At 40.4% G+C, this 13,889-nt stretch overlaps 1 protein-coding gene across 22 annotated transcripts in view; it reads right to left on the bottom strand.

The window, feature by feature from the left end:
- Positions 1-13,889, bottom strand: part of WNK3 (WNK lysine deficient protein kinase 3) — a 166,078-nt gene that overhangs the window by 113,987 nt on the left and 38,202 nt on the right. For all 22 annotated transcript variants that reach the window (XM_047442382.1, XM_047442379.1, XM_017029744.2 and 19 more), the window contains exons 3-5: positions 4,310-4,482; positions 2,286-2,506; positions 1,113-1,270 (exon numbers count right to left, since the gene is read on the bottom strand). In XM_047442382.1, coding sequence (XP_047298338.1) covers positions 1,113-1,270; positions 2,286-2,506; positions 4,310-4,482 — 552 coding nt within the window. The remainder of the gene's footprint in view (positions 1-1,112; positions 1,271-2,285; positions 2,507-4,309; positions 4,483-13,889) is intronic.

The raw sequence follows: 13,889 nt of genomic DNA on the forward strand, positions 1-13,889 counted from the left end.
TAAGCAAGTGGGGTGACAGATATGTTAACTAGCCTGATTTAATCATTCCACATTTGTGTGTGTGTATCTCAAAACATCACATGGTACCCCTTAAATATGTACAATAACAATTTGTCAATTAAAAATGATATTAATTTTGGCCAGGCGCGGTGGCTCACACCTGTAATCCCAGCACTTTGGGAGGCCGAGGTGGGCGAATCACAAGGTCAAGAGATCAAGACCATCCTGGCCAACATGGTGAAACCCCATCTCTACTAAAAATACAAAATTAGCTGGGCGTGGTGGTGCACACCTGTAGTCCCAGCTATTTGGGAGGCTGAGGCAGGAGAATTGCTTGAACCCGGGAGGTGGAGGTTGCAGTGAGCCGAGATCCCGCCACTGCACTAAAGCCTGGCGACAGACTGTGTCTCAAAAAAAAAAAAAAAAGGTATTAATTTTAAAAGGATTTAAAAAACCAATACCTACTAATGTTAAGCTACCTGAAACAATCTTTCACAGCCTGTCTTGAGCTGCCCAACTGGATATGAAGCAGTCCTCCTTTGAACAACACTTTGCTTCTACCTTCCTTATGTCCCTTACTATACTCTCATCCTCTTATTTTATAGTCATTTGTGAATTTATATTATTCCCTTATTAGAAATGTAAGCTCTTTAGGGTAGCAAACACTTCTTACTCATGTTTGCATTCCTTACAATTTCTAACACAAAAATTTACTCATAGCAGGGACCCAAATACTGTATCTATTGAACTATATTTTGAATGCCCTTTCATAAAAAGGCTTTTAGACCTAGAAGAAACCATGTAGTCGGTCTCTATTATTCAGCTTTGAAAAATAAGATCCATCTAATAGATAACTAAAAATTCCTTACAAACAAATATATATAGATGATATACCTGTACATTTTCCCAAAGATACTAATACAGAGCATTTTATATGACTCCAATGAAGCATAGTCATATGGTATAAATCTAAGGCTTGTTGCATTACAATTGTTAATTTTAATACTGTTACCTAGAGCTAAACCAAAATTAGTTTTGAGTAAGTCAAACTTAACTAATTTCAACATGAAACGTGGCAACTGATAAAGTAAAAAGAAAAAAGTTATACCTACACTAGTTACTTTCCGGTATATTTGAGCTGCATTCTGACACTCAGAATAAGGATACTCCGATGTGGCCATTTCCAGCATACACATTCCAAAAGCATAAACATCTACGGATTCATCATAGTGTTCTTCATACATCTCTGGAGCCATAAACTCAGGAGTTCCTACAAAATAACACCACCACCACATTCTTATAGAAGAGAAAAACGTATCCACCAAGATCACATCCCCTTTCCTATAAGGATTATCTGTGTTAATTTCTACTCCCCCAAAGCAAATTTCTTTTTTTTTTTTGAGACATAGTCTTGCTCTGTTGCCCAGGCTGGAGTGCAGTGGTGCCATCTCAGCTCACTGCAACCTCTGCCACCCGGGTTCAAGTGATTCTCCTGCCTCAGCCTCCCGGGTAGCTGGGATTACAAGCGCCTGCCACCATGCCTGGCTAATTTTTGTATTTTTAGTAGAGACGGGGTTTCACCATGTTGGCCAGGCTGGTCTCGAACTCCTGACCTCGTGATCCACCCGCCTCAGGCTCCCAAAGTGCTGGGATTACAGGCGTGGGCCACCATGCCTGGCCGCAAATTTTTAAGTATACAATTTGTTGAATATTTGCTATATCTACATAAAGCACTGAAATAATTTATTTAATTTTCCATACTGATAGAGTGTAATTTGTAATGCTCAAGATTAGGTAACGATTAATAAAATGTTTTTATTTCTATCCTTTTTACTTAAATTTTTCTGAATTAACTTAATAAACTCTCTTACTTACATCCTTAGAACCTTTCAATAATCCTAAATATAAATTATTATCCCACAAAAAATACATTAGGATGTCTCTGAAAAAAGCCAATATATAATAGGTATTTCAAAGCAAATTCAGTCTAAGCCCAGTATTGGCAAACTTTTCTGTTAAGGGCCAGATAGTAAACTGTTTAGGTTTTGCAGTTTGTATGGTCTCTGTCACACAACTACTCAACTCTGTCACTTGTAGGTGCAAAAGCAGTCCTAGACAATCTGTAAATGAGTGAGTGTGACTGTGTTCTAATAAAATTCGATTTACAAAAACAGGCAGTGAGCCACATTCATCCCACTGGCCATAGCTGGCTGATTCCTGTTCTAGACCTATACAATTGAAAAATCTCTCTTTACCCAACCAGTAAACTGTAAAACTTTAATCACCAATGACACTCTTAGCAAATGAGGTACGCATTAAGGTGGCTAATCCTAGATCACCAATCTTCACAGATCCAGTGGGTCCCGTGATGAAAATATTGTCACACTTCAGATCCCGGTGAATAATAGGAGGAGTCCTAGTGTGCAAGAACTGCAACCCCTTTAAAATTTGCCTGCACCAGCTCCTTAAGACCTTTGGTTTCATGACTTTAAATCGTTTTAAGTACCTATACAAAGAAACAAAAGACCATGTGTAAACAAACATATCCAACTTATTATATGAACACTATTAAGGTAAGTTACATAAGCAAACAACTTATGCACTATGATTCCCATCACTGAGTTGTTTTCTATTGTCTGTTATGGCAAAACAAAAATTTAATCTAATACTTCATTCTTAGATAAGACATCCTACCAAGCATAGCTGTTTTGTTTGTTTGGTTGGTTGGTTGGTTTTTTTTTAAGACGAAGTCTCACTCTGTCTCCCAGGCTGGAGGGCAGTGGTGCAATCTCAGCTCACTGCAGCTTCCGCCTCCCAGGTTCATGTGATTCTCATGCCTCAGCCTCCCAAGTAACTGGGACTACAGGCATGCACCACCACGCCAAGCTAATTTTTGCATTTTGGCATAGACGGGGTTTCACCATGTGGGCCAGGCTGGTCTTGAAATCCTGACCTCAGGTGATCTGCCTGCCTCGGCCTCCCAAAGTGCTAGGATGACAGGCATCAGCCACCACACTTAGCCAAGTGTAGCATTTTTAATTCAAACTAAAAATCATTCCAGAGTGGCCTTTTGTAGAATGGCAGCACAATTTTAAAAAGAAAGTCCTTCTCTACTACCTAATAACTGCTTATATAAAGTCACTAGAGGGTTAAACTATGTAAAATTTTAGTATATACACAAATGTTAGGAAACAAAAAGTTTATACCATATTTAATATTTGCAAGTGATTAAACCACATTTAATATTTACAAGTCATTATTCACCAAATGAATAATTGTGGTTAGAAATAAAAGACTATAATTAATAGTCTATAATACTATAATATTATACTATATAATACTATAATAATATACTATAATACTATAATATCATAATAGTATCGCTCACTAGATATTTGAACTTGACCAAGCCCTCCAACCTTCCATTATCTTCTACAAAATAAAATTATGGCCGGGCATGCTGCCTCACTCCTATAACCCTAGCACTTTGGGAGGCTGAGGTGGGCAGATTGCTTTAGCCCAGGAATTCGAGACCAGCCTGGGCAACACGGCGAAACCCCATCTCTACAAAAATTATTTTTAAAAAAATTAGCCAGGCATGTTGCTGCATGCTTGTGGTTCCAGCTACTCAGTAGGCTGAGGTGGGAGGGTCACTTGAGCCCAAGGAGGTCGAAGCTGCAGTTAGCCATGATCATGCCACTGCACCACTCCAGTCTGGGTGACAGAGTGAGACCCTGTCCCAAAAAATAATAAAATAAAATAAAATAAAATAAAATTATATTCTCTATAATAGATTTTTAATTCTAAAATTCTATAATATCCCACAAACATTAACTTCTCAGTACTGTATTTTTTTAACAAACTTCATTAACATCTCAATTGTTTAACCTAACTTAAAACAGTCACTAGATTCGAATCTACAAATTCTTTTTTTTTTTGAGACAGGATCTGGCTTTGTCAACCAGGCTGGAATACAGTGGCACAATCATGGCTCACTGCAACCTCCATCTCCCAGGCTCAAGCCATCCTCCAACCTCAGCCTCCTGAGTAGCTGGGACTACAGGTGTGTGCTGCCACATCTGGTTACTTTTTGTATTTTTTTGGTAGAGACAAGGTTTCACCATGTTGCCCAGGCTAGTCTTGAGATCCACCCTCCTCAGTCTCCCAAAGTGCTGGGATTACAGGTGTAGCCACTGCGCCTGGCCAGATTCTAAAAATTCTTTGAGTAGTTTTATTTTATAAAAATTGTTATGACTCCTGAAAATTATTTCCAAATAAAACTACATTGGCACTATCAGGGTCAACTTACGTCTTTAAGGTCCCAGATGTCATTAGTTCAGTCACTAATACAATACATTTCTTTCCTTTTAATATAGATTCCCAGGAATCATAAAATCGAACTATATTGGGGTGCTGGAGACCCTTCAACATCTCTGCTTCTTCCTTGAATCTTTGCTGCTCAGCTTTGGTTAACTTTCGGTCCTGAAAAGGAATAACAAGTTCCAAAATAAAGTCATGAAAATTCTCATGCACATTTCTAATACCACTCAACTGAATGCTTTATTGCATATATGCATGGATGTGTATATTTATTTATTTTTGCCTGTCAATGCTTTTCTCAAGACTTGTATCATCACAGATATCCTTTATTAGCTACTGTGACTCCTCCAACATGGCAATGCAGCACTATTATATTTCATAAGTACATTATAAACCCACCTGGGTAATAAATCAGTATCTTGAAAAACAGTATCTCAAAATGAATTGAGAAAAAGCAATAAAGCAGATAGGAAAGTTTCCCTAAGAAATCCCTGAGTTTCCATATCTAAAACATCTGTAATGTCAGAACAAGAACAATAAAAATGTTAAACATCTAGACATTTAATCTAATTAAATTTCTGAATTGCCAAAATAAAAGTGCTCTAGGTTTCCATACAGAAATATTAGTTTATGAACCAGTGAGACATTCAAATAGGCATTGGACCTCTAATCTGCTACATTAACTGCTAGAAGTCAAAGGAACAATTTTACAGAATTCTGAGGGAGAACTATGGCCCTAAAATTCTGATCCCAGACAAGCTATCCATCAAGTTTAAAAGTGAAAAAATCCTACATTTCTAGACAACAGGGACACAGACAGTACACCACCCCATACACCGTCTCTGACCATATTACTCAAAGAACTTCAATAAAAATTTGGACACAAAAAGTTAGAAAAGGAAGGTATGGGCTGGGCACGGTGGCTCACACCTATAATCCTAGCACTTTGGGAGGCTGAGGTGGGAGGAGCACCTGAGCCCAGTTCGAGACCAGCATGGCTAACATAGTGAGACCCCCGTCTCTACAAAAAAATAATAATAAAAACAACAGCTGGGTGTGGTGGTGCATGTTTATAGTCCCTAACTACTCGAGAGGGTAAGGTGGGAGGATTGCTTGAACCTGGGAGGCAGAGGTTGCAGTGAGCCAAGATCATGCCACTGCACTCCAACCTTGGTGACGGAGTGAGACCCTGTCTCAAAAAAATTAAATTAAAATAACAAAATGTTAGAAAAATTTTGTTATCAAAGTTGTACATGACATTATCTTCTAATTTCTTTTATTCTCTTTCATAGCATGCTATGTTTTATTTCTCATTCCTTTTTTTTCTAGACGGAGTCTCGCTCCATTGCCCAGGCTGGAGTGCAGTGGTGCGATCTCAGCTTACTGCAACCTCTGCTTCCCGGGGTCAAGTGATTCTCCTGCCTCAGCCTCTTGAGTAGCTGGGATTACAGGTGCCCACCACCACGCCCGGCTAATTTTTGTATTTTTAGTAGAGATGGGGTTTCACCATGTTGACCAGGCTGGTCTTGAACTCTTGACCTGAAGTGATCCACTTGCCTCGGCCTCCTCCCAAAGTGCTGGGACTACAGGAGTGAGCTATTGCGCCCGGCCTTCTCATTCCTTTCCTTGTGTATTTCTGCCCTATTTTCTTCATCAGGTACATTAATCGTTTTTCAGAAAGCCCAAAATAATAAAATCTATTTATCCTATTTTTATGTATATAAATTTTAAATTAATTTCAGTTTTTCTGAATTCCCTCTTCCTTTCTTTTGCTGTTATTTTCCTAATTTCTTAACATGAGTACTAAATTCCTTTAGTTATTGTTCATTAATAATGAAGATATTTTAGGCTATAAATTTTCTAACAGGTACAACTTTTGCAATGACCCACAGGTTTTGTTGTAATGTCTTCTCTTTTTCATTGCTTTCTAGTTTATAATTTTCATTTTCATTTTCATTTTCAGTTTTCAGTTTCTCTTTGATTCAAAATTTACCTAGGAATGTGATTTCTGCTCTCTAATTAGTTAAGAATCTTTTGGTTATTTATTTCATTATTTATTTCTAATCTTATTGAGTAATGCAAGTACAAAATCTCTCTGCTTTAACTTAAGGGTTTTTGGGGGCCACATATAACAATGTATATTTCTTGCTTGAAGGATATAAAGTTCTATACATCCATCAAATAAAGTTTGTGGATTGTGGATTATATTATTCAACTCCTCTGTATTTTTTTTTTTTTTGAGATAGAGTTTTGCTCTTGTTGCCCAGGCTGGAGTGCAATGGCGCGATCTTGGCTCACGGCAACCTCCGTCTCCCGGGTTCAAGCAATTCTCCTGCCTCAGCCTCCCGAGTAGCTGTGATTACAGGCATGCGCCACCACCCCGGCTAATTTTGTATTTTTAGTAGAGGTGGGGTTTCTCCATGTTGGTCAGGATGATCTTGAACTCCTGACCTCAGGTGATCCACCTGCCTCGGCCTCCCAAAGTGCTGGGATTACAGGCGTGAGCCACCTCGCCTGGCACAACTCCTCTGTATTTACTCACTTTTTGTGCACTAGATCTCTCCTATGCTGAAAGAAATGTACATGAAATTTCCCACTACAAATACATGTTTGCTTTTTTGAAAATGCTATTAGAGGTTATTTAGCCAAAATGTTGTTGATGTCTACAAGTTTTTGATACATCTTCGTAAACTATGAAGTATATAATTTCATAATATCCTGTCTAATGTTTCAACCTTGTTTTCCTCCTTTTTTGATGTACATTAACATTGCCACTTTGGGGCCAGGTGTGGTGGCTTACACCTGTAATCCCAGCACTTTGGGAGGCCAAGGCGGGCAGATCGCCTGAGGTCAGGAGCTCGAGACCAGCCTAGTCGACATGGTGAAACCCTGTCTCTAATAAAAACACAAAAAATTAGCCAGGTGTGGTGGCACGTGCGTGTAATCCCAGCTACTTGGGAGGCTGAGACATGAGAATCACTTGAGCCCAAGAGGCAGAGGTTGCAGTGAGCCAAGAGCATGCCACTGCACTCCAGCCTGGGCGACAGAGTGAGACTCTGTCTCAAAAAAAAAAACAAAAAAAAAAAAAACAAAACACATTGCCACTCTTGTTTTCTCTTTGCTTGTTTACACCTTTACCTTTTCTTTATCACTGCTTTAAGTATGATTTTAGTAAACAACACATGTGAGTTTTGTCTTTTAACTCTACCTGACAATCTGAGTTTCTTATTAAGTAAATGCAACATGTCCACATTTGGTATAGCAAATAATATACTTAATTTTACTCCTTCAATCTTATTTTATGTTCTTTATTTATTTCACTTTGTTGTTTTCTATTATTAACTAAGAGATGTAGCAGGCTAGGCACAGTGGCTCACATCTGTAATCCCAACAATTTGGGAGGTCAAGGTGGGTGCATTGCTTAGGCTCAGGAGTTTAAGACCAGCCTGAGCAACATGACAAAACCCTGTCTCTACAAAAAATACAAAAATTAGCCGGGCATAGTGGTGTATGTCTGTAGTCCCAGCTACTTAGGGGGCTGAGGCTGGAGGATCGCTTGAACCCGGGAGGTCGAGACTGTATAGTGAGCCATGTTTGCGCCACACTGCGCCACACTGCACTCTAGCCTGAGTGACAAAGTGAGATGCTGTCTCAAAAAACAAAGAGATATATAATATTTTTCCTTTTTTACTAGTGGATAGCCTCCCTTTCCAGACACTCAAGATCAAACATATTTATCTGTTTTAAGAAAGTAACTCATCTACTCGTTCTCCCTACTTCACCTAGCCCCCATTCACCAAAAATAAATAAATAATCTAAAATACTAATATTTCCCCCCTTTCTATCATGCCACATAGACAACACATGTAGAAGACTTAATCACTGGTCAGGCACGATGGCTCATGCCTGTAATATCAGTACTTTGGGAGGCTGAGGCAGGTGAATCGTTCGAGCTCAGGAGTTCGAAATCAGCCTGGACAACATGGCAAAACCTTGTCTCTACTAAAAATAAAAAAAATCAGCTGAGCATGGAGGCACGTCCCAATAGCTGTAGTCCTAGCTACTTGGGAGGCTGAGGTGGGAGGATCACTTGAGCCTGGGAGGTGGAGGTTGCAGCAAGCCAAGATTCTGCTACTGCACTCCAGCCTGGGCAACAGAGGGAGACCTTGTCTCAAAAAAAAAAAAAAAAAAAAGACTTAATCACCCCTACACTGTCCACTTCTATATGATTGCCCCTCCCCCTGACACACTTCTGTTCTAGCTGTAGAGTCTTTACTTAGCACTTTTATCAAATATTCCATTCATTCAATGTCAACATATGTTAGTTACATAGATCTAGCTTCATCTTTTCAACTATTACATAGTTTTCTGCACTATGGTCCATGAATATCTTTTTCACCCTGGGAGATGATATCTTAGTTGATTAGAGATTCTTGGATGGTGTAGCCTTTTCCCCTTAATGGTCTACTGTCTTTTAGCTTCTAGCATTGAAGATAAGAAGAAAGGTGCATGTAAGATTCTTTTTTCTTGGTTAGTCTAGTTATTTACCAGATTTTACTAGATATCTACTTTTAGATACTACTTCTTTTTGATTATCGAGACTACTAATTCAAGTCAGAAAAGTGATTATTTTCCCCTCATATTCAATCCTCTTCTGAGTCCTTGATTTACTCAGGGGAGCCCTGGGGTACCTTATGTAGTCCCATGAGTGATGGAGCTATAGCAGTCTCTCCCCTGAGGGCTGTTCTGTAACAACTAACATCTTGTTAGACATCGAGGAAGTGTGTTTGCTCCTTATTCTCCTAGAATGCAAAAGCTAACTCTCTCTCCTACTCTGCAGACTAAAAATGACCCCGTCTACCCTTTAGACCCTCAAGACTAAAAGACTGGTCAGCCCACTAGTCTTTTAGCTCTGCTCACACTTTTGAGGGGGCATAACTATACAAAGAGATCAGCAGATCTTCCCCTGTATTATAGATGGAATGTTTGTGTCCTCTCTCCTCCGCCAAAATTTGTAAGTTAAAACCCCAACCCCAATGTGACTGTATTTGGAGACGGGACCTTTATGTCATAAGGGTGGGTCCTTGATCCAATAGGATTAGTATCCTTATAAAAAGAGATAACAGAGGCCGGGTGCAGTGGCTCATGCCCGTAACCCCAGCACTTTGGGAGGCCAAGATGGGTGGATCACCTGAGGTCAGGAGATCAAGACCAGCCTGTCCAACATGTTGGAACCCCGTCTCTACTAAAAATATAAAGAAGTAGCCAGGCGTGGTGGCAGGCACCTGTAATCCCAGCTACTTGGGAGGTTGAGGCAGGAGAATCGCTTGAACCCAGGAGGCGGAGGTTGCAGTGAGCTGAGATCACGCCACCGCACTCCAGCCTGGGCAATAGAGCGAGACTCCATCTCAAAAAAAAAAAAAAAAAAAGACAAGAAGACAAGAGAAAGCTCACTCCCAACTCTCCTCACCAAGCCATGAAGAGAGCCCTCACCAGAAACCCACCAAGCTAGAACTTGATCTGGGACTTATAATCTCTACAACTTTGAGAAAAGATGCTCAACATCATTAGTTGTCAGGGCAATGCAAATCAAAACCACAATAAAATACCACTTCACACCCATTAGGATGGCTATTATCTAAGTAAATAAATATATAAATAAATAAATAAGAAGTGTTGGCAAGGATATGGAGAAACCTTGTACATTGCTGGGGAATGTAAAATGGTATATTCGTTGTGGAAAGCAACATGATGGTTCCTCAACATATTAAACATAGAATTATCATATGCTCCAGCAATTCTACTTTTAGGTATTCTAGGTATATACCCAAAAGAATTGAAAGCAGAGACACAGACATTTGTAGAACCATGTTCATAGCAGCATTATTCACAATAGCCAAAACGTAGAAACAACTCAAATGCCCACCAACAGATGAATAAACAAAATATGGTACATACATACAATGGAATACTGTTTAGCCTTAAAGAGAAATGAAATTCTGATACATGCTACAAAACATGGATGAATCTTTTTTTTTTTTTTTTCCTGAGATGGAGTCTTGCTCTATCACCCAGTCTGGAGTACAGAGGCACAATCTCGGCTCACTGCAACCTCCGCCTGCCGGGTTCAAGCAATTCTCCTGCCTCAGCCTCCTGAGTAGCTAGGATTACAGGCACATGCCACCATGCCCAGCTAATTTTTGTATTCTTAGTAGGGACGGGGTTTCACCATGTTGGCCAGGCTGGTCTCGAACTCTTGACCTTGTGATCCGCCCACCTCGGCCTCCCAAAGTAGCTGGGATTACAGGTGTGAGCCACCGCACCCGGCCAACATGGATGAATTTTGAAAACGTTATGGTAAGTGAAATAAACGAGACAGGAAAGACAAACATTGCTTGATTCCACTTATATGAGGTACCTACAATAGGCACATTCATAGAGACAGAAAGTAGAATAGTAGTTAACAGGAGCTAGGCAGAGTGGGGAATGGGAAGTTAAATTTTTTTTTTCTTTTTTTTTTGAGACGGAATCTCGCTCTGTCGCCCAGGCTGGAGTGCGGTGGTGCCATCTCAGCTCACTGTAAGCTCCGCCTCCCGGGTTCACGCCATTCTCCTGCCTCAGCCTCCCAAGTAGCTGGGACTACAGGCACGTGCCACCATGCCCGGCAAATTTTTTGTATTTTTTAGTAGAGACAGGGTTTCACCATGTTAGCCAGGATGGTCTCGATCTTCTGACCTCGTGATCCACCTGCCTCGGCCTCCCAAAGTGCTGGGATTATAGGCGTGAGCCACCGCGCCCAGCCAGGGGAAGTTAAATTGTTTAATGAGTATAGAGTTTCTATTTGGAATGATAAAAAAGTACTGGAGATGGATATTGCTGAGGGATGTACAATGATGTAAATATACTTAATGCCACTGAAAAACTGCACACTTAAAAATGGTTAAGATGGCTGGGCACAGTGGCTCACGCCTGTAATCCCAGCACTTTGGGAGGTCAAGACGGGCAGATAACCTGAGGCCAGGAGTTCGAGACCAGCCCAGCCAACATGGCAAAACCCCATTCTCTACTAAAAATACAAAAATTATCCGGCTGTGGTGGCACGCGCCTGTGATCCCAGCAACTCGGGAGGCTGAGGCATGAGAATTGCTTGAACCCAGGAGGCAGGGGTTGCAGTGAGCTGATATCATGCCACTTCACTCCAGCCTGGACAACAGAGTGAGACTCTGTCTCAAAAAAAAAAAAAAGGTTAAGATGGTAACTCTTGTTATATATTAGACATTTTGCCACAATAAAAAATATTTTTTAGAAAGTTAAGGAAGTCAGCAGGCACAGTGGTTCACATCTGTAATCCCAGTACTTAGGGAGGCTAGGAAGGAGTTCAAGACCAGCTTGGGCAACAAAACAAGACCCCAACTATACAAAATAGCTGGGCATGGAGGCATGCACCTGTAGTCCTAGCTACTTGGGAGGCTGAGGCAGGAGGATCACTTGAGCCCAGGCGTTCAAGGCTGCAGTGAACTATGGTCACGCCACTGCACTCCAGCCTAGGTAAGAGAGCAAGACCCTGTCTTGAAAAAAAATAAGGAACTCAGAGAACAAAAGCAAGGAAACAAGTAGAGTCTTTATGCTTTACTATCTGGCCTAATAAGTCTTTTCTTTTTTTTTTGAGATGGAGTCTTGCTCTGTCATCCAGGCTGGAGTGAGTAGTGTGACCTCGGTTCACTGCAACCTCCACTTCCCGGGATCAAGCGATTCTCGTGCCTCAGCCTCCCCCAGTAGCTGGGATTACAGGTGCCCGCCATCACGCCTGACTAATTTTTGTATTTTTAGTAGAGAAAGGGTTTCGCCATGTTGGCCAGGCTGGTTTTGAACTCCTGACCTCAGGCGATCCGCCCACCTCGGCCTCCCAAAGTGCTGGGATTACAGGTATGAGCCACTGCACCCAGCCCAACCTGACTAATAAGTCTTAAGTGCCCCTATAACTGGCTAGAAGTCCTCTACTCATGATAGACAGCAGATCTACTCTGAAGAATAATTAGTAATTCTTTTTTGAGACAGGGTGTCACTCTGTCACTCAGGCTGGAGTGCAGTGGCGCGATCTCAGCTCACTGCAACTTCCACCTCCCAGGTTCAAGCGATCCTCCCACCTCAGCCTACCAAGTAGCTGGGACTACAGGCACATGCCACCACACCCAGCTGATTTTTGTATTTTTTGTAAAGATGGGATTTCGCCATGTTGCCCAGGCTGGTCTCAAACTCCTGAGCTCAAGTGATCTGCCTGCCTCAGCCTCCCAAAGTGCTAGGATTATAGGCATGAGTCACCATACCTGGCCAGAATAATGAATAAATTTTGATGCCTTCTGATTAAATTAGTAGAATGCCAAGTCTTTCATGTGCCATACTAAACTACCCTACTTCATCCTTTGATTCTACAGATTGAAAGTAGTCAGCATTAGGAATAAACAACTTTACAAAATTACAACTGTTTTCCCAGATATACTGCTGGAGGTGAAGTCTACTAAAAATGTAGAGCCAAGATCTTCAAAACTCCACTTCACATTTAGCAAGGGGAAAGTAAACCTGTTAAAGTAGCACCAAAATCCAGAGGAAAATACTTAGAGTAGAGCTTTCAGCTACCACAGTAACATCCTTTAAACACACACACCCCTACATGCATTATTGTATTAATGACAACCACTTTGGTAGAGAAACTTTCACACATCATCAATAAGAATTCTTACACAAGAAAGGAATGATGAGCCACAAAAGACAAACCAGAGAACAGCACTAGCTAATGAAGCTGACATAGTCAAATGCTGGGAAAATTCTGGTCTATGAAAATGATCCCTAAATCTTGCTGTCTCAAGGTAAGGACACCAAGAAGAAAGCATCAAATATCAATTTTATGTCAAATATCAGTGTTATAAATGTTCATTTATATAGCTGATAAATAGGAGTCAAATACAAATTTATCAAATAGATTTCAACTACTCCACACTACTGTAAAAAGAAATATTATCCTTTTATAAATGTTAACTAAACATTAAATCTATTATAACATATGGAATGCTAAAAGTGTACACAAAACCTTTCCTGAGACATGGCACAATACCAGTATGACCAACCTGTATATATATTTATTCAAGATAAGAAGCATTTCATTTCCAAAAAGTAAACTATGTCCTTATCAGGTATATATCTTAATGCAAACACCAACAATGATCTACAGAAACAAGTCAGAGGCTACATGGATCTGTTTCCGCAAATGTGAAAGGAGAAATCATTAACAATGATATAAAAGCTATATTATAAAATAACCTAATCAAGTAAGGATGAATATTACAAAGGCTTCAAAATGATGCTTAGCTTATAAAGCACTCTATCAATGAATATTTTTTTTCTTTTTAGAGAGACAGGGTCTCACTCTGTGTTGCCCAGGCTGGAGTGCAGTGGCACGATCATAGTTCACTGCAGCCTTGAACTCCTGGGCTCACATGATCCTCTTGCCTCAGTCTCCCAAATACCCAAGACACTACTGGGACATGCCACTATGCCTATGCTCAGCTTTT

This window comes from Homo sapiens, chromosome X (assembly GCF_000001405.40).
Source record: "Homo sapiens chromosome X, GRCh38.p14 Primary Assembly".
Classification (NCBI taxonomy): Eukaryota; Metazoa; Chordata; class Mammalia; order Primates; family Hominidae; genus Homo; species Homo sapiens.